We start from the raw sequence: 25,083 nt of genomic DNA, 5'->3' as shown, positions 1-25,083 counted from the left end.
CACCCAAATGTATTTGGGTGGTTTTCTCTAGGCAGTGGAAATAGAACTGAAAGGTCCTGGCCTGGTGAGTTGTTCAGAAAGTATGTGTGCCCTAGAGTCTGGCCTCACTAACTCTGTGAGGTTGGGCAAGTTATTGAAGCTCTCTGGGTTTCTACACATGTGAAATAGGAATAGGAACAACCCTCACATATACTCATAAGAAGAAATCGAGAGTGTTAATGTAAAAACCTAGGCCCACAGCAAGCATTCACTAAACGTTAGCAAGAAAGAACTATGATGCATGTATGTTTCCAGATTTCTGTACTTCCCAAATCTTTGCCAATGAACACACACTGCTTTTATAATCAGAAAAGAATGATAAACCACATTTTTGTTTTGTGCTTTTTAGTTTAAGGGAATGAGCTATAAAGAGAGAAAAGATTGTAAAACAACAGATGCAATCCATGTCAGGGGAGATTGTTTTTACTGGGAGTAATGACACCATGTGACCCCTGGGGTATCCTAATCCAGGGACAGGCTGTAGGAAGACTAAACATGAAGAATGGTGAGGCTTCCCCTGGGAGCAATGATGCCCTGGCTCTGCAAACTTAGGTCACAGAAGAGAGGGGCCAGGTCACAATGTTTCCTGCTTCTCTGCCCCTCTCCAAGGCAGTCTCCTTCCATCAGGTGCAAAGCCTGGATCTCCAGCATCAAATTAAAGAAATAGAACAAACCCATCCCAGGGCTTCTTTAAATATTCAGATAAACCCATGTGCCCCTATCAGTTAAATTAAGCTTTCCTAAGAAAAAGTAAGTCAATTAGTTCAAAATGTGGGTTAGTGCTTCTGGGTATTTAAAAGGGGATTTTTTTTTCTTTTTTAGTTCATTTAGAAACACAGCCACGGGGCAGGTACATACCCACTCCTCCACACATCCTGTGAATTGCCCCAATACACCCAGATACCAGTTTCTGATATCTAGAGCTTCAAAATCTGGTCCTTAAACTTTCTCAATGTCATGAAGATATTGAAATACGAGCTTTAAAATTTATCTTGTTTTGCCCTTTAAGTACATATCGTTTATTTCACTATCATTATCGATACTCATTAAATGGTAACTGACATTGCTATAGAACATTGATAAGATGTGATTTTACCCTAATTGAACTTCTTTCTTCTCCATTCCACAAATACTTATTCTCTAAACTTCTGTGAACAAAGAGAGGTCTCTAAGACAGTATAAAATGCAGTTCTACAGCATAGTTTGTGACATATACCACAAAATTCATTTGTCCAAGTGGCCTGGATGCAATAAACCAAACTTTACCAAACTACAAGTAAAGCAGGATATTTCCTAAGATGAACTTCTAGAAGCAATTTGTGCATCAAAGCATATGAACATTTTCATGGCTTTTGAAGACGTTGCCTAATAATTGCATTCTTAAAAGGCTGTTTCATTTTTATTTATTTTATTTTCATTTTTGAGACGGAGTTTCACTCTTGTTGCCCAGGCTGGAGTGCAGTGGCGCAATCTCGGCTCATTGCAACCTTCGCCTCCCAGGTTCAAGCGATTTTCCTGTAAAAGGATATTTTAATTTATATTGATAGTAAAAGAAGATAAGGATAACATTTTCGTACCAACATTTGGGTAGAAAGTGTTTAAGTTCGTATTTGTTTTGCTTTTACTAACTTAGTAGACCACTTTATTTGAAATAACAGCAAATCGTTTCAGGAATATTTTAGATTGTGAGACCATTGTAAGTAGTTCTTCCATTATTTAAAAAATACATATTTGTTACATGACATATTATCACATACCTTTATCTCCTTTTCCACCATAATTAGTATTCCAATGACACTGAAATAAAATTTTATTTAATAGCAGGACTAATGTCCACTTTAATCCCACATACCTTTTACCAATATATACAACTAGAAGATAGAGAAAGAAATGACTATCATTCTGAATTTTAGGTTTCATTTAACTTTGACAACCTTTACATTTGACTTCTTTATTAACCAAGTGAAGTTTCATGATCAGAATATTATAACAATGAGAGATGGTACACTCTTAGGCTCGATAAAAACCCAATTTACTTATGGAAAACTACATTTCTCTTGTACATTATTTGTTTTACAAATAGCCTAGGAAACAAGTAGGTGATTATTAGGTGGAAAGACCTAGAATTGTAGTTACCAGGTAGCAATTAGGAACTAAATATTCTATTCCTGTCAATTACTGCATTAAGTTTACTCTGCCTGTTTTTTGACAAAGCATTGAAGAAAAAAATAGGAATACCCTCTTTGCCCCAGGAGATTTACAATAGCCCAGGATTTCAATAGAAAGTGCCTCTTTCTAGTCTGGTTGAATTTGTGGGCGTTCCTTTTGTCTATGAATTCTTCACTGCCATTTCTTCTAAGACACAGATGGGTCCCTACTTCCAATAGCCAAGAAAACATGTACCAGTGTTTAGGTGGCCAAGTGACAAAGGTGACACTGTTTCTCAGTCCATTTATACGTGTGTCACAGTCCAAGACCTTGGCAAAGTACTATTCTGCCTTTCCAAGTTTCCCAAATCCTATTATACACAGGGGTATTTTAATGGTAGGGAATTTTTCCCTTGAAGTTTCTTTCTTTCTTCTCTTCTCTTTTCTTTCTCTCTGTCTTTCGTCTTTTCTTTCTTTCTGAATTGTTCCCTTGAAGATTCTCTTTTCTTTCTTTTTTCCTTCCTTCTTTCTTTTTCTTTCCTTCTGAATTGTTCCCTTGATTATTCTTTCTTTCTCTTTTCTTTCTTTCCCTCCTTCCTTCTTTTTCTTTCTTTCTGAATTATTGAAGATTCTTTCTTTCCTTCCTATTTCTTTCATTCTTTCCTTCCTTTCTTTTCTTTCATCTTCTTTTCTTTTTTCTTTTTATCTTTTCTTTTCTTTCTCTCTGTCTCTCTTTCTCTCTTCATTCTTTGGTTCCTAGAGGCTGAATATGGTCAAGTGGTTCAAGCATGGCCTATGGAACCAGACTTGCCTGCCCTGGTCAGGTCTGGGAGACCTTGGGCAAATGTCTTCACCTTTTTTTTTTTTTTTTTTACCCTCTCTGGCCTTAGTTTTCTTGTTTGCTATCAAGCTTGGGAAACAATAGAGCCTTAATAAATAAGAAGTAATGGTCAAATGTGTATGAATGTTCCAGACAATGTGTTAAGTGTTTTGTGCATATCAACTTATTTAATTCTCAAAACAATCCCAAGGGGTAGGGACTGTTATCATTATCACCCAGGTAATAAAATGAGAGAACTGAGCCATAGAAAAGGGTGGCTAGTAAGGCAAACTAGGATTCACACCCAGGTAGGCTGGCTTCAGAGAGAGTTTTTCACCACTCTGCTATACAGCCTTTTGTTGAAGTTAGCTTTCTCCCCACACATAAATGTGCGTATATTTATTGGGTATCTACTATGTGCCAGTCACTCTGCTAAAATATACCAAGAAACTGAATTGGAAATGAACTGGAAATACAGAAATAAATAAGACAAAGTTTCTGCTCCTGTGGAGTTATTTTTCTTTTCTTACACTTTGTCAACTTAGATGACATGGGTTCAATTTTCATCTGAGTTCAAAAAACATTACTCAAGATGATTCTCAGTTGAATTCAACAGAATTAATAGCTAAACTCTGAGACAGGAGTGGTGGCTCACTTGAGACCAGGAGCTCAAGACCAGCATAGGCAACATGGGGAAACTTATCTCTACAAAAAATACAAAAATTAGGAAGGCTTGGTGGAGCAGGCCTGTAGTCCCAGCTACTTGGGAAGATGAGATGGGAGGATCACTTGAGCCCAGGAAGTTGAGGCTGCAGTGAGCCATAATCATGCCACTGCTCTCCAGCCTGGGTGAAAGAGTAAGACCCTGTCTCAAAAGAAAAAAAAAAAAAAAAGAAAGAAAAAGAAACCTCTAAAACCAAGATATACCAAAATAGTTTCAATTTGAATTCATATTTAGCCTTGAAAGCCCTTTATGAATCTTTCAGTAATTACATCAAGACAGTATGGCGTCTCTTTTAATTTGTGTCTTTAAAATGATGAACTAAATGCTTTTTCTGGCCTCTGCTCTCAAGAGCCCACAAAATTTCTGAAATTTAACAATTTAAATCCTCCCCAGCCCACCTCTCTTAATAGAGACACTTCCATTCCCCAGATCTGCCTTCAGAAGGGGCAACATTAACTCTACTGCAAGAAAAGGGTCCCTCACTCTACTTCTGCAATAAGTTTCTAAAGCATGTTCCACTAGAGAGGGAATTAATGATAAGGAAATATTCATCCAAAGCAGCCATTAAATTCATTTTAACTTGCAAACAATAATGTTGCCTTGTAGTTACTATTTGTCCTGATTTTTAATACAGAGCTTCAGATTCATGTTATTTTTAATTTTTCACAAAAACTTCCCTGCTAAATGTAAGATTTAACCAAACACAGATTCTCTTCATTCAATATAAATGACAAGTGCTCACCATGTCCCCAGGCACCAGACTGAAACTACAAGGGTGTGTGTTGCTTTAGTAGAGAGGAAACAGGCAGATAAAAACCAACTATATCCAGTATATTAACAGATGATACTCAGAAAACTGGAAGCAAAAAGGAGGAAGAGCTGAATATGTTTCTGTATAGTATAACCTTTCATAAAATGTGAGCCTGAAATGGAAGTAGTTGGGTTATGAATCGAGGGGGAAACATTTGGAGTTTTTCATGCCGAAATAACCATGTCACTATTTTCAAGTATTCTGAGAAGTGGAGAAGCACAAATATACAAAGAGACCCCCCACCCCCACCAGCAAAAGGTGGAGAATCTTGTTAAAAGTTGTAAACATCTTACCATAGTTTAGAGAGTTCTGACAGTTAAATAATTGCAATAAATGTTCCCTATAGTACTGGGATTATAAAGAAGTCATGTATCCTGCACAAGAAATAAAAAGCATCCTTTCAAAGGGGTGACCGGCAGCTTCGATTGTCAAGGTGGTAGTCTGAACGGACTTCATGATATGGAGAGGTCAAGTAGAGGAATTGGATGCTGCCTGATAGGCAGAACGACAACCAATATTGCCTCTACAGAAATAATAAGAAGAAAGCTTTTTTGATTCTTTCATTTTGGAATTGAGTGTATGGAACCACAGGATGTTTTTAAGGGATCATTTATTAAACTTGGAATTGAACTACTTTATGAACTCCACTGTAATTTTGTGTTATTGGGTTTTAAAAATTAAGCAACTTTTTTTTTTCTTTTGGTCGAGGGGAAGCAGGGTATATATCTGTTTTTCTGGGTGTTCTTCCCGTGACTCCTATAGATAGTAGCCCAAAGACGTCTTCTTTTCCAGTATTTAATGAAGTATCCTACGGGCAGATCATTTTGGTAGCCTTTCCGGAGCTGGTGCAACGAAGCAGATCCACAGTTGCCCGATAATCAGGCCAAGGCATACTTTCCAAGGTGCGTTTTTCATATCGAATTTAAGCGCGGGTCCTGCCCGTTGTTTGCAAACTGTCCAAGCAGCACCCAAAACTGCTGCTTTTCCAAGTCCGTTAAAAAGTTATTTGCGCTTGGGGTTTTTCGGTTCTGCTACACCCCACCTCCTTCCCCTGACTTTTGCCAGTAGAGACCTGCCCTGGGGGATATTTTGTCCTGGGAGCACAAAACTATTTTCTTTTCTGGAAATAAGTTGACGTCAACTGGGAGCTGTTTTGGGTTGCTTTGTTTCCCGGAGCGTCCAACCCAGCACACCGCCTCCGGCAAACTGCGAGCAATTCAAAGCAGCTCGCCCAGTAGGGAGGGGAGCTGGTGGGAGGGGGGTGGACCCCGCCGCCCGCAGAGGTGGGGAGACCTGGGGGGCGGCTCCGCTCCCAGGCTGCAGCGTGGGCCTGGTCCCCTGCCAAGCCAGGAGCGCAGCCCGGAGCCAGCGCGGCCCCCGGGTCCCTGCGCTTATGGCGAGGGTCGCGGGGGAACAGCCCCTGGTAGGTAACTTGCCGGGCACCCACCTGAGTTCTCCGCACCGCGGCCCGAAAACCTGGGAGCGTCCCAGGACAAAGGGCCAGCCCTCTGGAATTAGCCGTGTGTGACTAGTGTGTGCCAGCTCGTATGTGGGGGTCCCAGTGTGCAACTAACTTAGCTGCTCACCGCAGCCTCGGAGAAACGAGCACGCCTTTCTGCACGTGTCCAGGGCGGGTGCGGCGGGCAGTGCATTGTGAACAAAGCCGGCCACCTCCCGCGCCGCACCTCGGGGACGATTCCCGGACGGTTCTCCGCGGAGAGCCGGGCGGATGAGAGCGTGGTGTGTGTGTGTGTGTGTGTGTGTGTGTGTGTGTGTGTGTCTGTGTGTCTTGTGTTTCCCTAAGGAGCCGGAGGCGGCCCGCGAGGCAGGGACTTGCTCTAACTTGTTTCACACCTGGCGCGGTTTCCCCGAAGCTCGGGTGGCGTCCAGGGCCGGGCAGGCACGCGGAGGACCAGCAGCGTTCGCTGCAGAAAAAGACATCGTCAACTCCCACTCAGAAGCCCACACTGCCCTGAGACCTGGTCTTTCATTCTTTCTTAAAAAAAAAAAATGCAAATTGATGGATGGGTTTCAATTGATGCGTAAAATGCTTCCCTTGAGAGCAAGACAGGAGGGCCAGGGAAGGGGGAAACAGGCAGTTGACATAACTCTCACAGCCTAACTGCCGAGAATTCGGACTTGGAGGTAAATTCGAGGACGCACCCGAGGAGCAGGCGAGGCTGCCTCCCAGCAGGACGGCCTGGCACCGGGGCGCACTGCTGGGGACCTGACTCCCTCGTGTCCCCTCACCCCAGGGACTCGCAGCTGGCCCGCGCGCCAGGGTACACACGGGCTGCGGGAGAAGGTGAAAGTTAGGATGCAGCACGAGCTCCGAGAGTGGCCTGGGCTGTGCCTCCTAAGAGAACAGCCGAGGTCCCCGGCGGCTCTGGGAAGCTGCCCCTGGGCCGGGAGAGCGGGAGGCGGCGACGCAAGGACGCGCCCGGAGCCTGGGCGCGCCGGGGGCGGGCGTTTGGCTGGAAGTGGGGCAGTGTCTCCTATGGGAAAGCGAGACCCGGCGAGCTCTTTGGCTGCTTTTCCAGTTTCCGAGGTGCCCGCCCCCGCGCGCCTGAGGCAGCGCAGCCCGGAGGGCGAACGAATGGCGGTTGGCAAACTTTGAGTGAGAGTGCGCTCCGGATCCGAATTGCCGAATTGTGGCTGCGGCAGGGTCGGCCGAGACACAAGTTCGCTTTTTCCGCCTGCCCGATGGGCCTTAGGGAGACTTCAGCTCCAGCTTGGTGGAGCGCCTCGCCCGAGGGAGTTGTGTCACTTTGCTCAGGGGCAGGGAGGGCGGCGCCCTGGGCGGGTGGGGAAGGGTCCCTGTGGCCCCTGGGGTCCCAAGCGCCTCTTCCCTCGTCTCCCCTCCCACCGGCCCCTCCCAGTCTTCTCTGCCTCGCTCCTTCCCGGGGCTGGCTGGACCGGCGCGGACTTGCCCCAGACCTACGGGGAGCGCCCCAGGTCTTTAATGACAGCTTAAATGTGGCTGTTGGAAAAGTCGAAAGGGATGTGGCTGACGTGGGGCGTGTTTCGCTCCTTTGCAAGAGTCGGAAAGGGAGTTGGGAGCCGCGCGGCTGGCCCCAGGCCCCCGCGCCTCGCCGCCAGCAAGTAGGTGGGGGAGCCGCCGCCGCCGCCAGCCCCATCCCGCTCCCAAGCCTCGCCCGCTGCGCCCTGGCCGCGGGCGCCGAGAGGGTGCGGGGCCTCGCCGTGCCTCCTCCACCCTGCTCATTAACCTGCCTGCTCCGCTCCGCTCCGGGCGGCCCCAGACACGGGTTTCCCGCGGCAGCACCCGCGGCCCGCCCGGCGCAGCCGCCGCCCCGACCCCCCGGCTCCGGGGGGCAATGAGGGGGCAGTGGAAGGGGCACTGCTCCTCGGGCATTACTTAGAGAAACGAGACCGTCCCGCCCTCTCGCCGGCCCTCCCTCTCTCCCGCCCGGGCCCGCGCAATTCTCCGCCAGAGGGTAAGTTGGGAGTGTTTCGCCCCCACCGACAGCTCTCCCTCCCTTTCCTTTTTTTTTTCCTTCAAAGTTTTCTTAGAAGTGGGAGCCGGGTGGGGGAGGAAGAAGGTCTGGTCAGCCTCCGTCCTTTACCCTATCTCTCCGGTCTAACTTGTCCCCCCCTCCCCCCTCCCCTCCATCCCCTGCGCGCCGCTGCCCCTCCGGAGCTGCGCTCGGGAATGACAATTGGAGCGCGGCTCCTTTAAGAGCCCGGCTTTGCCTCCCGGTAGCTGAAGGTCATTAAACACAAAAGCTCTCAGCGCTGCGGTCCAATATAGCGCATGCGCCCTGCCCGAGGACTGGCAGAGAGACGGCAATATGGCGAGAATGCCTGGCAGCGGGGACTGTAACACCAGCGCGGGCGGCAGCGCCAGCGCTGCCGCCGCCGCCGCCGAGAACAATGGGGAGCGGGGCGAGGGCGAGCGCGGCGCGGGGGGCCGCGGCCGCCGCCACAGCCGTCCGCACTACTGCAGCGCGGGCGAGGAGGAGGAGGAAGAGGAGGAGGAGGACGAGATCCAGGAGGTGCAGATAACGGGGGACGAGGAGGAGGAGGAGGACGGAGGTGGGGGGCTGGAGGAGGACGAGGAGGAGGAGGAAGAGGAGGAGATGGGGCTGGACTGGGACGAGCCCCTGGAGCCCGAGGACTCGGCCGGGGAGGAGCTGGAGCCCGAGCCGGTCCATATGATCAATATGGACCAGAGCGCCGCGCTGGAGCCCGAGGCGCCGCCGCGACTGCTGGCGCCCCGGGCCCGCGGTGGGCCGCCCGGGGACGGCTCCGAGCTGGACCCCGACGTGCTGCAGCGCCCCGAGCGGGCCCGGCTGAGCGAGAACACCCGGCTGGCCACCCGCTACGCCGTGCGCATCTTCCGGGAGTACCTGAGCGAGAAGGCGCAGAGCCCGGACTTCGAGACCATGGACAAGGGGGCGCTGTGCCGCGTGCTGCGCTCCTTCTATGCCGAGGCCCGCTCCAAAAGCGGCCAGCTCTACAGCAAGTCGTCGCTCATCAGCATCCGCAGCTCCCTCAACCGCTACCTCAATGAGCCCCCGTACTGCCGCACGCTCGACCTCACCAAGGACCCCGAGCTGCGCAGCGCCAACCTGACGCTGGCCGCGGTCATCCGCAAGCTCGAGGAGCAGGGCGCCGGGCCGGTGGTGCAGAAGCAAGCCATCACGCGCGCCGACCTGCGCAAGCTGTACACCTCCAGCGTCTTCAGCACCAACACGCCCTTCGGGCTGCTCAACAAGGTCTGGTTCGAGACGTGCATGTACTTCTGTACCCGCGGCCGCGAGAACCAGCGTGAGTTGGAGGAGGACTCTTTTGGGCTGGCCATGGACGAGGACGGTCGCAAGTTCGTCTACTTCAAGTCCCTCGGGCCCTACCACAAGTCGCGCTCGTCGTCGTGGAGCAAGAAGCGCGCCGAGAGCAGCGACGAGGAGAACTTGCCCCGCATGTATGAGACGGGCACCGAGTTCTGCCCCTACGCCAGCTTCGTCAAGTACCTGTCGAAACGCAACCCTCTCTGCAAGGCGTTCTTCCAGCGGCCCCGGGACCACTGCAGCGAGGGCGATGTGACCTGGTACGAGAACAAAGCCATCGGCAAGAACTTGCTAGGCACTCGGATGCAGATGCTCTCCAAGGCGGCCAAGCTCTCCAAGACCTACACCAACCACTGCATCGGCGCCGTCTCCATCGCCACGCTCAACAGCATCGCGGGCATTGGCACCAAGCTGGGCTCGCCCGCCCCGCAGGGCTGCTACGCCGAGGCTCTGAACGGGGCGGCACGGCACCACTCCCACCACCCCCCCACCCATCCCTCCCACCACCACCGCCCCCAGCCGCCCTCGCTGGGGAACACTTACATCCTCCCCAAAGACAGCCAGGTCGGGCCCGACGTGAAATCCGAGGCTGCGCCCAAGCGCGCCCTGTACGAGTCTGTGTTCGGGTCGGGGGAAATCTGCGGCCCCACTTCCCCCAAAAGACTTTGTATCCGCCCCTCGGAGCCTGTGGATGCGGTGGTGGTGGTTTCCGTGAAACACGACCCCCTGCCTCTTCTTCCAGAAGCCAATGGGCACAGAAGCACCAATTCTCCCACAATAGTTTCACCTGCTATTGTTTCCCCCACCCAGGTAACCAAACCAAACTCTATGCATGAAATGTTTCTTTGGTACCACTTCGGGACTAACTTTTGTGCTAATGCAGCTCTGGGTAGGGGGGAAGTTTTAAAAAGTAGGTAATGTACTGAATCGGATTTCGTTTCACCCTTAGAAGTTAACTCTCTTGGTGCTTTTTGGGAAACTTTACACCTAACCTTAAAAGATGTGAGAGAGGGCATGCTACCTAACAAATCACTGCTGTGCAGTAAGGCGAAAAACTTCAAAGTTCGCCGAACAAAAGGATTAGCTCACTCTTGCAGCCGCTCTTCATTGAATGCATGAGTTTTATAAGGCAAAGACTGCGAGAACACTGTAAATGTAAAGGAAGCAGTTACTTAAGACATATTTGAATCAAGTAACCCTTAAAAGACTCTATTACGTATTCGCCATGACCTTAGAAGGTAGAAAAACAGTTATAAATTATTGAAAAGAAAACGTGCCAATCCCACTTCCTGTAGCTTTTTTTTTTTTTTTTAAAGAAAAGGGGTGGAGAGTGGAGAGCCAGGCAGTTGAGTGCCAGTTTATACTGTAACATGTAGTTGAATGTAAACTGGCAGTGTGGGGTGCAATTTCCATAAACTAAAGTGGGAACGTGGTATCTGCAATTCCAGTCAGGCTACAAATTGGAGTATGGGCCTGTGGTGCCCAGCACTGTGGGCACTGAAACATTGCTGTCTCCCCCTAGCCCCACGGAGCTCACTATCTAGGGGGCAGATAATACCTACGAAGTAGATAATTAGAGTAAGAGTGCTATCCCAGCAGCTGAGTCAGCATGGACAAATCACTTCACTTCTCCTTGGCTTCACTATCCTCATCAAAGAGGAAGAAACTATTTCCACCCTAACATGATTTAAGTCTAAGCAGTGCCAAATTCTGGGTCGAGACTGGGGCCTCTAGTGTTAGATTCTTCTTTCCTTATTTTCCCCAAGGTAGTATTTTCGTGAGTATTATTAAAGTTATATTCATGTTTTGGACACTCTCTAGTCTAGGAGTCAGAAACCAGGGGTCTTTGGACACTGTGTTCTATTCTGCAGGCAGGAGTACCCACTGGAGGTTTTACAACTTTGACCTGCCTGCCATCAAGCAGAAGTAGGAATTTTGCAGGTCTGAAGGTATAGTGCAGGCCCTCCAGGAACATATGTCAGGTACCTCTGTGCTTTTTCCAAAGTGGAAATTCCAGTTCTGGACACACTGACCCTTTCAAACGTTTACCAGCTAATGGGCAAGCCTCAAGGCCAACTGAGAAAGGGGCTGCGAGTGGTAATATAAACACCAAAGTTCTCTAAAATACACAAGACCTGTAGGCTATGTGTCTTCTGTACTTCAGGTGTGTAGTCTATTTCTGACAGGTTGTGTTAGTGAATTTTAAGAATGGAGAGGAGAATTTAGGGTTTGCTTTTTCTTTGAAAGCAAAAATAAATGTTCATATTCTTCTGATACAGTAAAAACCCTTGAAATGCCCTAATTTAGAATAGCACCTGATTAATTAAGAGTTAAAAGTCTAAGAAAGTTTATTAAGGCGTGCATGGCCTTGGGATAACAATGAAACCATTTGTCTACTGGCATCTGTCTGCTGGTTTCTTGACACCAGTGTAATATAGAATTGTGACGTAAAGAACCACAAAATATAAGAGGGTTTCGTTTCATTGGTTTTGTTTTGTTCTAAGGAATGCAGTCTTTCAGTCATTATCTTTTATTTACCTGAGTAAAATAAATCAGTTCCAAAAAACTGTATACTGATGCTTTTATTATTCTTGCATTATTGTCAGGTAACTCCTAAGTTAAATATAGATTTGAGTGTCCATATATGGCTTATATGATTATTATGGCTCTCAAACAAGATCTTAGCTCCAAGTCCCTGTTAGTTAAAACACTACAAAAAGTTTTCAGTTTGCACATTTTTAGTAGTCAGCTTTTCACTTATGAAGTCTGAGCAGTCGAAGTATTGCTCAGTAGAAAGCTGAGAGCAAACTTTTTCCTTCTTTGTATATTAAAATCACTGTAAGAGTTGAGGTTCAGTGCATTTCCTGGGGCTTAATGCCTAGCTGAGGTTGCTGGCCTGTGGCATTGCTTTGGGTCATCAACTCTTCTGGCTGGTCATTAATCCGCAGGAAATGCCCTGTGCAGCTCCAGCTTCAGTCATTATTACTTAATCATAAACATAGGCTCTCTAGCCTAATACTGACTGGACTTTATCAAGTAGTGTCATACGGAATTCCACTGTTGACCATCTTAGAGACATCTCGATAACAGACAGGTCACACACTGATGTTTTGATTTTCTACTAATGTTGCAAGTTTCCCTAAAGATGAAGAGCCTGCTTCTTTAAATGCATTTACTCTTTTTACTTCTTGAGGGTGTTGTTAAGTATATTATTTATGGGACTGGTTAAAAAATGAATGCATTCAAGGATTAACAAAGATTATGGAATGTGTGATTGCTCATGTGAAGTATCTGGCTTTTGGGGGGAGTGAGGAATTATGGCGATGGTTGTGATGGTCGCTTTAACTGGTCCACTCTTTAATTCTCTTGAATGGTTGTGTTAAAAGTAAAGTGTAGTTTTAGTTCCCTTGTCCCCCAAATAGCTATTGTGATCTAAAATGATCCAGTTATTGGTACGGTTTGCAAGCTGCCAGGTGGAGGTCATGTAGTCCATTTTAAACTGCTTACCACTGTATCGTCCATCCTTATAACTATTCTCTTTGCATAAAAATAGAGCATTTTTCCTACCTCAGAGAACAGTACTTCAGTTTAGAGGGATGATAGAGATTTATAATTTTGTTCTTTATCATTCTCAGAGGAGAAAATACTAATAAAGTTTAGATTCTGAATGTCATAGTTTTGTCACTACAGTTTTTGTAGACATGTCTCTCTCCTGTGCTAAACAAAAGTGTGAAGCATTTGCAAGCTGTGACAAAGGTGTCTTTAGTTGCACTTGCTTGACCCTAACCTAGATTATTTCCAGAAATACTTTTAAGGAATTCTGTAGAGAGGACATCTATTAGTGGAAAGATTTTGGGGGCTGGTACACATCCCCTGTTTGTGTTTTATTGTCTTCAGTGTGGGCCGTTGGTCCTTATAGTTAGCAGAGTGGAAACTGCAGCAGGCTGCAAGCAGGCTGACACAGTTAGTTGTTCATTAACTTACCTTTGAGGAGAAGCCAGAGGCTGACAGCTCAGGGAATCCACTCAGGTGCTATAGGGGCAAGGAAGAAGGAATATTTAATGTATCTACTTAATAGTGAAAGGCATGCATTTTATGTATTATTGAAATAACTGCTAAGGTCCTATTTTGAATTTGAAGACTAAGAGGGAGGGATGTTCTTTATTTCTTATAGATGGAATCAAATTTTTATAAACATGAAAGGAGTATAGCGATTGTAACAAGACTTCTTGCCATGGTTATTTGGAGCTATTAAGATTAACTGCCTTTTAAAGAGTGGGTATTTTTCTGATTTTCAATATTAGTTTGTGGCTACATTCCTTTTTCTACTGCAAGAATGTTTGCTCTCCTTTATGAAAAGTTCAAGTTGGTGGAGAAACTAAATGTTTTGTACATAAGTATATAACTTTCTTCATTCAGGAAGTAGTTACTGAGCGCCTACTGTTTTGGCTTTTGTACCAGGAGTCTATAAATTAATCGTTTTCCACCTGGCAAGTAGTCTCATTGGCAAAATTTTGGCTTCTTTATCTGTTTAAACTAGATCAAAATAAAGACAGTTAAAAGGTGATGCACTCAGTGTTTTGCAGCAGTCATTTTGGGAAAGAAATCTGTACCTTTATATTCTCTTCCATGCACTCACATATTAATGTTGTAACCAGTATTCAGGAGTATTATTTTAAATTGATATAAACTCATATCTGATGTCAGTTCACTCTGTACTCAAGCTGACCCATGAAACAGAAAAAGAAATATTTGTTGCCAGGGAGAAAGTGGATCCCATTCATCCAAAACTTAAATCTTTGTATCACCCTGATTTTAAAATTTGACTCCCCAAGCAAATGTCACCAAAAGGCCACCCTCTTGTCATTACTAAGTAGTTTTCAAGCAGGAAGAAGCCTTTGTTTTCCGAGGACCACTAGTTATATGTGAGACCACTTGGATGATCATCCAGGTGGGTCCAGGCCAGTCAAAGCCCTACTTCAGTTATCCAATAAAACTTGAGTTTCAAGACACCTTTTGGTGTTTTAACTGCCATTTTGAAAGCAGAATCGATACAGGAGTTCCTGTGTAGTATGTGTCTTTGAAGTCTTAGGAACGTACATGTAAACTAGTCATCTGTAGGTCTGTCATATGTTAGAACTTTTATTTGTAGAATCGATTTTACTTATCTGTCATTCATTGCATTGTACCAATAGTCAAGTTGCCTTTTTAAAGATTTCTTTGGAGAATTTATATAAGGGATAAGGTAGTATGAATTAATTGGTTCAAAAAAAGGGGATATGGATTGACCTTGATAAACTAACATGAAAGAAAACGTAGCTTTAACATTTGAAACATTGCACAGGCACACTTCTTTAATTAACGTTTTTAGTGCTCTAAGATGCTGAATTCAGTTCATCCACTGTTAACTGAGCATCTTTCTGCTTGCTAAGTGCTGCAGAGAGGAGCAGGATTCAGTCCTTGCCCTCAAGAGGGATTCATAGAGGCTGGGCAATTAGTGGATTTATGCCCTTAAAGCTGAAATAATTCTCTGCTTGCTACATGATCATCAGAGGGGAAACAGGTGAACTCTTAAAGTTTTGGGCCCTATAAAGTTCTTTTGGATTTTCAGATTTATGAAAACTGTTCCTTTGCCTACTCTTCTCTTTCAAGAGAAGATGGGTGCTGAATGGTTTTGAGTCTTTATGACAGCATGAGCTTCTAGATGGCCCAGAAATAAATGATCTTTTCAGCTGTTCGAGATACACTACAGCAAAGGGTATGGGTTGAGATTAAACCTGAATATGAGGTTGTGTTATCTAATGCCCATGACCATAAACTGGATGACAGACCCTGCAATGCCCACACTAGCACTACAGGAAGCTGAACCTAATGAGGCATGTTCTGGGTTTTCAGTGATACTCCAAATTCCTTTCAACACTTTCTTTACAGCCAGACTTCTTACCTTTTAGCTTATAGCATATAGCAACCTGACAGAGCCTTTTCTTTCTCCCTAAAAAAGATCCACTTACATATGACAGCAAACTTTCATTCATGACAGACAGGGTTTTTTTATTTGGCAGGGGTGGATATCATAAATTTTGCCCAAGCTTTGGGTAACAGAATTTTCAAAAATAACAGAGGTGGGAGCTATCTTACAGTATCGTAAGTGAAAAGTGTCTGCGTTTTCTTTGGAGTTTTTAATCATATGTGCTTTTAGGCAACTCCTGCATGTACGTAGTGTGCTTTGGGCTAGCTTTTAACATTTTCACCCCCAATGAGAATTTCCTTTCTCTGAAGACCCTCTCCATCCTGAGGTGTGTGATTCAGCTCCTCTTTCTCCAGGCAGGGACTTTGGTTGTGTTTAATCCTGTGGGCTGCAGGGCAGCAGGAAGATGGTGCAGGCCTCTAGTGATGAGTTCATTTATGTAACCCTGGATAGCTGAGGGAATTGGAGAGACCTGGAAGGAGAGGGCTGAGGATGGACTCAAGCTTCTTAGTGACCCCCACTCCACCAGCCCATTCTGCACCTCCAACCCTGCAGCACCATCTCCACCGGAAGATAGAGCCAATGCCACTTGAAAATGCTCTTCATAATCCAGACCTTTCCTGGGAGTATCTGGACTCATTCACACCCTGAATTACAGTTGACCATTGAACAACTCAGGGCTTAGGGACACCAACCCCCTGCAGTCAAAACACTGCTTTTAACAAATTTTTAACTTCACCAAAACTTAACTAATAGCTTGCTGTTGACCAGAAGCTTTGCCAATACCATAAACAGTTGATTAACACATATTTTGTGTGCTTTATGTATCATCTGTATTCTTACAATAAAGTAAGCTAGAGAAAAGAAAATGTTATCAAGAAAATCATAAGACAGAGAAAATATATTTACTATTCATTGAGTGGAAGTGGATGATCATAAAGGTCTCCTTGTCATCTTCAGGTTGAGTAGGAGGTGGGGGAAGAGGAGGGGTTGATCTTGCTGTTTGAGGGGTGGCAGAGGCAGAGGAGATAGAGGAGGTAGAAAGGGAAGCAGGACAGGCAGGCACACTTGGTGTGACTTTCATTGAAAAACACTCGCATATAAGTGAACCCGCACAGTTCAAACCCCTGTCATTCAAGGGTCAAGTGTACTGCTTTCCCCCGACTGGCAGTGAACCCTGGAAGGTTTTGATCCATTCTGGGAGGAAGGGGGGTAAAACGTGCTGCCCGAAGAGGCTGGCAGATTTAAGACAGCATTAGGTGCTAGGCCTCTAGGCAACAAGAGGAGGAGTTCAGAAAGGAATGCTAAGGGATGACAGAGACAGATGTTGCTTCCTTTGTGAGTAATTCAGTTGCCAAATTAAAATGTCAGGACTAGTTTGGGAGCTTGTGATCATGAATTTCTAGTTTTACTTCATGTCCCTAGTCCGGTTTAACCCAGTTCAGCCTAGTATCTCCCCATTCAATCCCCATCCTTTCTGTCTTAACACAAGAAAAAGGAAGCAATTATTTATAGCACCAGTTCCCATTTGGGCCCTTTCACTGTGTGCCAGGGACCAAACTAGTTAAGTACACTATCTATATTTTTTAAATTGAATTTCATATTTGTACATTTCTCTGCCTCACCCTCCATTTAGACAAAATGTTCATAGATAATATCTTCATATATATATATGTATATGTAAACTTGATATTTGAAAAAATCCTTCATTTTTATCATAATCTGAGAAATAAGTGTTGAGGATAAGTTTCTTGTGATTGTGGATTAATTCTGATATTTCAAGTTGCTATGGTTTTTGACATGCAGTTTTAAGGAACTTAACTTAGAAACATGAATTATTTCCACATTCCTGGCTGTTATGGGTCAGTGAGTGGACTGTTAGACCAGATCCAGGCAGGAGTAAATGGGGGAGCACTGTAGGGGCATAAGGCACGAGGCTCCCATCTTGTTGTACTGCAGACTGCAGAGACAAACTTGATTCATTCATTGGAGAGTTCTGATATAAACTGTCACAATCTCTAACTGGTTCTGTAGCTATGGAGTAGAATATAATCATTAACATTAATAATAATGAAGACATACTGAAAGCTTTAAAGTGGTCCACCAACCAGCAACATCTGCATTACTTGGGAGCTTGTGGGAAATGCAAAAATCCCGCCACTCTGTGCCCCTGAATCAGCCCCTGTGCTTGAAAAGACTCCTAGGCAGTGCATGTGCTCTGAACATCTTGAGCACTGGCCGATGTGGTCTCTCATTTAATCCTCATGCAGCCCTTCCAGGAATTATGGTTATTATTTTCATTTTATAAAGGAGGAAGCAAGCTAAGGGTCATAGATGTTGATTCACTTGTTTGAGCCCTAACAACTGGTAAGTAACTATGCTGGGATTTGAACCCAGCCTGTCAGATTCCACAGTATGTTCTTTCAAACCCATGGCCTGTTGATTGCAAAATTCATATCAACTGTTCAAATAAAAGAATCCAATAAAGAGAAGATGATAGAACATGAAATCACATTATTACCTGTGATGCTTTCTGGAACAACTAAAGAAGAGAGAACTTGTTAAAAGACAGCATCACAAAGCAGTGACATAAGTATGCAGAGACACAAAAAAGAATGTTTCCGGTGTGTGGCAGGCTTCCGTTTTGCTGTGTGGGGCCCCCAGCCTTTGCTGGGTCTGGGATTTGGAGCAACCTCATTTGAGAAACTATATCACATAGTGGTTAAGAACAGACTCCAGAGCCACATCCCCTGGAGCAAATCTCAGCTCTGCCCAGATCTCTGGGTGCCTCAGTTTCCTCCTCAGTCAAACGGGAATGATGATAACAATGATCTCACAGGAGCATGGGTGTTAAATGAGATACTGCTTGAAAAGTGCTTCAAATATGAGCACTATATGAATATTTGCTATCATTTTGTTAGTGCAGAATGCTTTACATTTGAACAAATGCAGATCTTTATCATAAAGTCCTAGCCCCAGCCTTCAGTTTGGCTCTTGGAAGTAGCTTGTCCAGGTGCTGCACCGGGGGCCCCTCTGTTGTTTCTTCTTTTGGGGCATCCATAGACTCTGGCCAGTAGCACTTTTGCAGGTCTTCTGGGAGATACGAAATCTCAGTGCAGGCTCTTGCACTCTGGCCTACCTGGGCCCTCTTCCCTCTCACAATTAACCTAAAAAAGCCCATCCGTGTGGATGCTTTACCTTAAGATTTGCATGTTCTGTGGCCCACGTGGGATTTAACTCCACACCTTCTTCTAACTTAGTTCTGCAGACCCTTCCTATTTCTCTTTACAGAGGCATGGAAATTTTCTTTTCTTTTTTTTTTAAGACGGAGTTTTGCTCTTGTTTCCCAGGCTGGAGTGCAGTGGTGCGATCTCGGCTCACTGCAGCCTCCGCCTCCTGGGTTCAAGCGATTCTTCTGCCTCAGCCTCCTGAGTAGCTGGGATTACAGACATGTGCCACCATGCCCGGCTAATTTTTGTATTTTTAGTAGAGACAGCGTTTCACCATGTTGGCCAGGCTGGTCTCAAACTCCTGACCTCAGGTGATCCACCCGCCTCAGCCTCCCAAAGTGCTGGGATTACAGGCATGAGCCACCATGCCCGGCCAGAAATTTTCTAGTGCTAAAAAATTAGCACTAGGATTTGGGCAGCCCACTGATGGGCATAATTGCTGCCCAGGCTACAGCACATTCACAGATGAAATGAGACAACAATGAACAGAATGAAATCAACAGTTTTTCAAAAGAGATTAAATTTTATTTGGAATGGCTTGAGATGAAGGGAGTGGTCATTATACTAGGATTCCTAAAATATTATGAAGGTCATTATAGCTATAATCTACATAAATCTCTTAATTTCAGTATTCTAGAAGTAGGGTCTATATTTGGCTAGAGCCTGTGTTATGATGTTTACGTTTCCCTAATGCAAAAATGCACCACAATTTTCTAATACTTGACTTCTGCCTTCGATACTATGTAAATCAATAGAAATGCCACTTAAAGTTGAGGTGTACTAATATACGGTTGAAATAGACTACAGAATTAAGATAATTGGTTGGTATTTTGATACATTATCGCTGACCAGTTAATGATCTTTTGTGACTTGTTTTTAGTGTGACAGTGCAGGGATTTATTACCTCTGATTTAGTTTGCCCTCCAAATACTTACAGTATTCAGCCAGCATAGTCCTTATGGAATAGGTTTTTGGGTTTTATAGAATAGCATATTGTATTAAGCCAGTTTATATGGAATATTGGCTTCTATTTTGTGATATTCTTTCTGACAAAACTATATCTAAATAGATTTTGGATATTTTCTTACATCTTAAACAAATATTGTTGTTGTTTTTTCACTCCAGAAAAAAAAGAGACTTGCTGAATGTTTATTTTTCAGTGAATTGAGGTAGCAATTTAGAAACATGTTGCTGTAGAAACACACAGATCTAAGTAAAAGTATAACAAGAACATTAGAAAGCTGATTATGCTAGCTTCTTTTCCGCTCACCCCAGAGTTCTTTCACATGTTCGTCTTTTATAATTAATGGTAGGGTGTTCACAATGCTGGATTTTACTATTTTTTTCAGGATCACTTTATGGAGGTGGTGGGGGTGGTAATGATCCAGGAATGTGTCTCGTGGGTTTTTTTTTTTTAATTTATGAAAAGGATCATGGAGTCATAGAATCCCATGTCATCCTATAACTCCTCCCTTGAAGGGTTTTTAGAACCACCTCTTGGGACGTGAGCCAAGATCTGAGAGAAAGGCAAGGTGAAGGAGAATGCTATTCAGAAAAACTGAAAAGCAGATTCATTTCTGAAAGCATTTATTGAGCACTTACGGTGTGCAAGGTAGGAACTTGGAGGTGAAGAATAACTTAGAAATATTTAAGAGAAGACACTGGAGAAACTACAGTGGAATACCTAGGGCAAGTCCAAAGTACTGGCTGGAGATCAGTCTTATCTCATTTGATGAGTGTTCCCAGGTCAGCCCTGGAGAGTAAGGGGTGTGTATTAGTATCTCAGAAATGGGACCAAAAGTGGCCTAACAGAACTGAAATACTAAACAGTTAAACCTGAAGTGCATGTATGGGGAATGTGGAAACCCAGGAAAAAATAAAATATTACCTTGTCAAAAAATTTAAGCCTTTTCTTTGCTGTAACATTTCAGGCTTCTCCAGTAAGCCTTAGTATACTTGTGTTTTAGGTGTCCCCACTCCAAGTAAGCTGCCACATTCCACCACATATGAGCCACTCTAAATGTTCACCCTGTTGTGAAGCCACATATTTTAAGATTGAGCATATGTACAATAATCCCACAAAATCCAGAACTGGTACCCTGTCATAGTTCACATGTTAATTACAACTCACACTCACTAAATGTATGGCTTTGGAGCCCAGCGTGGTTTCATTCACCTCTCAGGTCTGTGGGGCCACACTGTGAGTAATCACTAAGGTACTTGTAGATAGTTTTTCACAGGAAAGCAAAGGGCTTTCCTGTATGTGATTTCATTCCAAGGGCTTAGTAGGGCAGTTCCTAGTGTCAGGTACTGGGCTAGACAGACTGAGGGGACACAGGAAAAAAAATCTTCTTTTTTTTTTTTTTTTGGAGGAATCACTCAGTCTTGTGGGGGAGGCAAATAAGTAACCAGATGAATAAACCCTGACTGTTTGATAAGTCCTGTGAATCTATGCACAGCTGAAGGGGAAGGATAGGAACTTTCATCATACCCATTCTACAGATGAGGAAAACTGACCCTCACATTCACCTACCTACCAAGAAGCAAAGTTAAAGTTCTGGTTCCAGCTCCAGGCCACTTCTACACTGGTACTTTTAAAGCTGTACCTTATAGATAAAGTTATAAACATGGTATAGTTAGGTGTTAAAGAGAGGAGAAAAAGGACACCAAAACACAAGTATATTGATGGATGTGTCTTTTGAAAACAGAATGAATCTTAGTGTGATTTTGTGTTTTTGGAGCCTCAGTGAAAGAAAGGGGAACATGATGGGTCGGGTGAAATGAACAGCCCAGTCTTCCAAATGTCAGTGTACACCCGAGACATCAGTGGCTGAAAGCTACAGTCTTAGGTTGACTTGCGGACTTTTTTTAAAATACAAAGTCAAGCCCCCGGGAGCCATTTCTTCAGTGGGTCAGTGCAGACTGGCTCCTTGCTGGGGGTCTGACGCTCGCTGGGACCAGTCCTCTGTTTCTGTGGTTCTTTATCTGTTCACTGACTGTTTGGCAGTTGAAGACTTGCTCCCCAAGGCCCTCAGTCTTTGCCACTTCATTCAGAGCACTTAATTAAAAGAGAAAAGGAATGCAGTTCTGATGCAGTTATAACTAGTAAAAAGAACCAATAAAAATGACTATAAAGTGCCTGACAAATAGAAAATGTTTAGTAATACCAAGGTACTTTATGGGGGAAGGGTTTACCTCTTGGCACAGGATGGCAGCTCCACCCCCACCCCCCAACCCCAGGCCTTTCCCTCCATGATGCCCTTGGCAGGGAGCTCTTGCCCAGCCAGAACAGGTGAGTGAAAAGATTCTGCTGTCTTGGAGTCACCTGACTTCTTACTACAAGAACATCCTTCAGAAGTGAAAATCACAGACATGTAGGTCTTTTGCTGGTGATGACAGATAACACAAGAGATAAAGAATACTTTGGTGATGAGAGTAAAAGGGAAAATGAGGAAAAGACAGTAGAAAAAAGTATAGGAGAAGTAAGTGGTTAAGGACCCTCTGGTCATAAAGAAAGAGGTACATCAGTTTGGAGCAAAACTCATATCTCTATGGGTTCTGGTAGAATTACCAAGGGATAGACCAAGTTAAAGTTACATGAATCATTGACCTGAATGATCTTAGGCAGGTTACTACATTTCTTAATAGGGATAATACAAATACACTTGTATTAAAAGCCCATAGTAAGTGCTGAATAAATGATAGCTTTAAAATACATATGTATAAAATATACATATATATTCTATTGGTTAGAGATTATTGACAGGTTAGAGGAAAATGAGAGAGATTATATACAATTTACAGATGATCTTCAGTATTCTCTTTGAAAGATAAGACAAAGGGTCCAAAAAAATTACAAAATATTTATAAACACAGGCAGAAGTATGGAGATGTACAAAGAAACCAGTTGGAGAACTCACATCTTTGGCAAGGATAAAATAATGATAATCAAGAGACAAATAATAAAAACTAAAGTTTAGAGAAAGATGGATATTAAATTATAGGTATAGGTACTATGTGACTCACTAAAATATAAAAATAAAATGAAACACAAACTTCTGTTCTCTCCTTTATGCCACAGAGAAAAATTTAAATATGCTTTATGTAAAATATTTAAAGGATTAATTTTGAACAAACTCTAAGTAGATTTTATTTTCTATGTATATTTTTAAGTAGACTGTAAATAAAAAAATTGAAATGAATTACAAGTGTGAGCAATATAAATCTTCAGGTTTCAGTAAGATTATCCATCTCATAAAAAAATATACAAATTGATTTTTCCTAATTATAAGCAGTGTACTTATGGAGATCAGTCACTTTTTATTTATAATTTTCATTAGAATGTTACGATACCAGTAAACCATATTCCAAATGTGTTTCAATAAAGAAATATCTTAGTCATCTAGAATATGGAACTAGAACCTCTTATACTTTTATTATTAAAATCTAACACATACAACCAGATGATAAATCGCAAATTCCATGGCTTGCTTTTTTTTTTTTTTTTTTTTTAAATAATAGCTTTAAAAATATTCTCACAGGCCAGGAGTGGTGGCTCATACCTGTAATTCCAGCACTTTGGGAGGCTGAGGCAGGCAGATCACTTGATCTCAAAGAGTTCGAAACCAGCCTGGGCAATATGGTGAAACCCCATCTTTACAAAAAATACGAACATTAGCCCAGCATGGTGGCACATGCCTGTAGTCCCAGCTACTCGGAGGCTGCAGTGGGAGGATTGCTTGAGCCTGGGAGGTGGAGGTTGCAGTGAGCCAAGATCGTGCCACTGCACTACAGCCTGCGCTACAGAGGAAACAAAGAAAAATTCTTATGGCCACTTAGCTAGAAAAGATCTCATCCAAATACAATAAAGAATATGAAACTTTCTGGCAATGTATTACATAGAACAGTAACACTCTTTGTAATAAAGTGCTCATTTGAGACAAATTAAGTCATTCTCTTAGCCCCCTTTTCCTACTTGACTGAAATAAAATACTTGCTCAGTTGACAAAAACCATCAAATAATTCACATTTTAGTTGTAATTTAGTTTATACTAGCTTGTTTAGAAATAAAGTCAGCAAACATTATCTGCATCATAAAGTGTGAATCGCAGTTAGATTATTACCCTTCAATGCATTGCTTGGTAAGAGGGCTACTACATATCTCATTCCTGAAGAATTTGTTCCCACAATCAACCCAATAACTAACATCTGTGTATCACATGTTATGTAAGTACTCAAGGTCCTCTATTCCATGTGATCCTCACAGCAATCTCATAGGCTACAGAGGTTAAGTGACCTGCTCCAGGAAGGAGGTGGTCAATGGCAAACCTAGGACTGGATCCCAGGTCTTTCACTTATTCTATTCATTTAACAAACATTTATTGAGCACCAACTTCGCTTATCACTGAGGACGCAATAAAGAACAAGGCAGTGAAGGTCTTGTTTCCCATGGACTTGACAGTCAAGTGGGAAAGACAGGAAAACTAATAAAACCATGATTAATATAGATGGAAGTAACTGAGCAGCTACTCTAGTCCCCAGGATTCCTCCTCTTAATGTGTCATCTTTTTCCCCATCAGTTGGGTCCCACCCCCACAGAAGCAGGCCACACTGACCACTCATGCCAACATAATCACAATAAGGCACTGCGTAAAGCCAGAGCCAGACTTCTCTGACCACCTCAACCTGTTGTTAGGTAGGGCAGACATCACAGGTGAGGAGATGGCGGCCCAGAGAAGGTGAGTAGCAGATTCTGGCCTAGAGGCAGGAAGTGATCAGCAGGGAGCCATGACTCACGCCTGTAACCCCGGCACTTTGGGAAGCCGAGGCTAGAAGATTGCTTGAGGCCACGAGTTTGAGACCAGCCTGGGCAACATAATGAGACCCCATCTCTACAAAAATTTAAAAATGTAGCTGGGTGTGGGAGTGCATGTCTGTACTCCCAGCTACCCTGGAGGCAGGAGGATCTCTTAAGCCCAGGAGTTCAAGGCTGCAGTGAGCTATGATTGTGCCACTGCATTCCAGCCTGGGCAACAGAGCAAGGCCCTGTCTCAAAAAAAAAAAAAAAAAAAAAAAAAAGAAGGAAAGAAAAGAAAAAGAAAAAGAATAAAAAAGGAATTGATCCTGACTCATAGACTCAGAATCTCTTTCCTTCTTGACAAAGCCGCCTCTTCTCACTTGTTAGGTTATGTGTAGCCTTTATGGTGTGATTACATCCTGCCTTATTCAGCCCATCCTCATCCCAGCATACCACTCAAAATCTGAATGAATTGCTCAAGGGCTGAGATCTTTGTTCTCTGGGATACACACTTTCCTTCCAACTACCACTCTCCAGATAGGTCTGTCAAGAAATCAGGCCTTTCTCCCCCATTCTTATAAAAGAAAGCAGCTAAGGTATTACTGATGGAATCAAAAGAAACTGTTAACAAAGGCAAGCACTTGTTTGTGAAATGCTTCATCCATATTTGTAATGCTAAAGAATCGTGGGATTAGCTTTGGAGAATGAGATCAGCTTGGGAGGCCGCTGTTCACAGCTA

General features: G+C 44.0%; 1 protein-coding gene and 1 long non-coding RNA gene across 7 annotated transcripts in view, besides 15 other annotated features; one reads left to right on the top strand and one right to left on the bottom strand.

Annotated features, from left to right (window-relative positions):
• Positions 1-25,083, top strand: part of KCTD1 (potassium channel tetramerization domain containing 1) — a 202,564-nt gene that overhangs the window by 100,587 nt on the left and 76,894 nt on the right. Inside the window, exon 1 of one of the 6 annotated variants that reach the window (NM_001258221.2) lies at positions 7,068-7,158. The exons of 2 other annotated variants lie outside the window; for them this stretch is intronic. Coding sequence is in view for 1 of the 4 variants with exons in the window: in NM_001142730.3 (NP_001136202.1) it covers positions 8,351-10,159 (1,809 nt within the window). In the remaining 3 variants the exon portion in view is untranslated. 6 annotated transcript variants of the gene reach the window in all.
• Positions 1,035-10,027, bottom strand: LOC124904273 (uncharacterized). Its single transcript, XR_007066321.1, has 2 exons — positions 9,893-10,027; positions 1,035-1,554 (listed from the first exon to the last, which is right to left on the bottom strand). It is a non-coding gene; the product is annotated as an uncharacterized LOC124904273 (long non-coding RNA).
• Positions 5,475-6,116: an enhancer, noted in NCBI's record as "H3K27ac-H3K4me1 hESC enhancer chr18:24130735-24131376 (GRCh37/hg19 assembly coordinates)". NCBI's record gives its function as "activates a minimal SCP1, AML or CMV promoter by ChIP-STARR-seq in naive H9 embryonic stem cells {active_cell/tissue: H9 hESC(naive)}" and the evidence as "EXISTENCE:reporter gene assay evidence [ECO:0000049][PMID:30033119]".
• Positions 6,148-6,442: a silencer, noted in NCBI's record as "tiled region #221; K562 Repressive non-DNase unmatched - State 20:ReprD". NCBI's record gives its function as "represses a minimal TATA promoter and a strong SV40 promoter by Sharpr-MPRA in K562 cells {active_cell/tissue: K562}" and the evidence as "EXISTENCE:reporter gene assay evidence [ECO:0000049][PMID:27701403]".
• Positions 6,759-7,400: an enhancer, noted in NCBI's record as "H3K27ac-H3K4me1 hESC enhancer chr18:24129451-24130092 (GRCh37/hg19 assembly coordinates)". NCBI's record gives its function as "activates a minimal SCP1, AML or CMV promoter by ChIP-STARR-seq in primed H9 embryonic stem cells {active_cell/tissue: H9 hESC(primed)}" and the evidence as "EXISTENCE:reporter gene assay evidence [ECO:0000049][PMID:30033119]".
• Positions 6,903-6,982: a silencer, noted in NCBI's record as "silent region_9378". NCBI's record gives its function as "represses an Ori minimal core promoter by ATAC-STARR-seq in GM12878 lymphoblastoid cells {active_cell/tissue: GM12878}" and the evidence as "EXISTENCE:reporter gene assay evidence [ECO:0000049][PMID:35858748]".
• Positions 7,293-7,392: a silencer, noted in NCBI's record as "silent region_9377". NCBI's record gives its function as "represses an Ori minimal core promoter by ATAC-STARR-seq in GM12878 lymphoblastoid cells {active_cell/tissue: GM12878}" and the evidence as "EXISTENCE:reporter gene assay evidence [ECO:0000049][PMID:35858748]".
• Positions 7,401-8,042: an enhancer, noted in NCBI's record as "H3K27ac hESC enhancer chr18:24128809-24129450 (GRCh37/hg19 assembly coordinates)". NCBI's record gives its function as "activates a minimal SCP1, AML or CMV promoter by ChIP-STARR-seq in primed H9 embryonic stem cells {active_cell/tissue: H9 hESC(primed)}" and the evidence as "EXISTENCE:reporter gene assay evidence [ECO:0000049][PMID:30033119]".
• Positions 7,403-7,532: a silencer, noted in NCBI's record as "silent region_9376". NCBI's record gives its function as "represses an Ori minimal core promoter by ATAC-STARR-seq in GM12878 lymphoblastoid cells {active_cell/tissue: GM12878}" and the evidence as "EXISTENCE:reporter gene assay evidence [ECO:0000049][PMID:35858748]".
• Positions 7,623-7,852: a silencer, noted in NCBI's record as "silent region_9375". NCBI's record gives its function as "represses an Ori minimal core promoter by ATAC-STARR-seq in GM12878 lymphoblastoid cells {active_cell/tissue: GM12878}" and the evidence as "EXISTENCE:reporter gene assay evidence [ECO:0000049][PMID:35858748]".
• Positions 8,108-8,402: an enhancer, noted in NCBI's record as "tiled region #2175; HepG2 Activating DNase matched - State 4:PromP, and K562 Activating non-DNase unmatched - State 10:DNaseD". NCBI's record gives its function as "activates a minimal TATA promoter and a strong SV40 promoter by Sharpr-MPRA in HepG2 and K562 cells {active_cell/tissue: HepG2 | K562}" and the evidence as "EXISTENCE:reporter gene assay evidence [ECO:0000049][PMID:27701403]".
• Positions 8,443-8,502: a silencer, noted in NCBI's record as "silent region_9374". NCBI's record gives its function as "represses an Ori minimal core promoter by ATAC-STARR-seq in GM12878 lymphoblastoid cells {active_cell/tissue: GM12878}" and the evidence as "EXISTENCE:reporter gene assay evidence [ECO:0000049][PMID:35858748]".
• Positions 8,613-8,722: a silencer, noted in NCBI's record as "silent region_9373". NCBI's record gives its function as "represses an Ori minimal core promoter by ATAC-STARR-seq in GM12878 lymphoblastoid cells {active_cell/tissue: GM12878}" and the evidence as "EXISTENCE:reporter gene assay evidence [ECO:0000049][PMID:35858748]".
• Positions 8,743-8,852: a silencer, noted in NCBI's record as "silent region_9372". NCBI's record gives its function as "represses an Ori minimal core promoter by ATAC-STARR-seq in GM12878 lymphoblastoid cells {active_cell/tissue: GM12878}" and the evidence as "EXISTENCE:reporter gene assay evidence [ECO:0000049][PMID:35858748]".
• Positions 9,031-10,015: an enhancer, noted in NCBI's record as "H3K27ac-H3K4me1 hESC enhancer chr18:24126836-24127820 (GRCh37/hg19 assembly coordinates)". NCBI's record gives its function as "activates a minimal SCP1, AML or CMV promoter by ChIP-STARR-seq in naive H9 embryonic stem cells {active_cell/tissue: H9 hESC(naive)}" and the evidence as "EXISTENCE:reporter gene assay evidence [ECO:0000049][PMID:30033119]".
• Positions 9,033-9,122: an enhancer, noted in NCBI's record as "active region_13190". NCBI's record gives its function as "activates an Ori minimal core promoter by ATAC-STARR-seq in GM12878 lymphoblastoid cells {active_cell/tissue: GM12878}" and the evidence as "EXISTENCE:reporter gene assay evidence [ECO:0000049][PMID:35858748]".
• Positions 9,143-9,192: an enhancer, noted in NCBI's record as "active region_13189". NCBI's record gives its function as "activates an Ori minimal core promoter by ATAC-STARR-seq in GM12878 lymphoblastoid cells {active_cell/tissue: GM12878}" and the evidence as "EXISTENCE:reporter gene assay evidence [ECO:0000049][PMID:35858748]".

Source organism: Homo sapiens, chromosome 18 (genome assembly GCF_000001405.40).
Source record: "Homo sapiens chromosome 18, GRCh38.p14 Primary Assembly".
Taxonomy (NCBI): domain Eukaryota; kingdom Metazoa; phylum Chordata; class Mammalia; order Primates; family Hominidae; genus Homo; species Homo sapiens.
The sequence above is the reverse complement of the archived record's forward strand: the minus strand, read 5'-3'. Positions and strand labels throughout refer to the sequence as shown.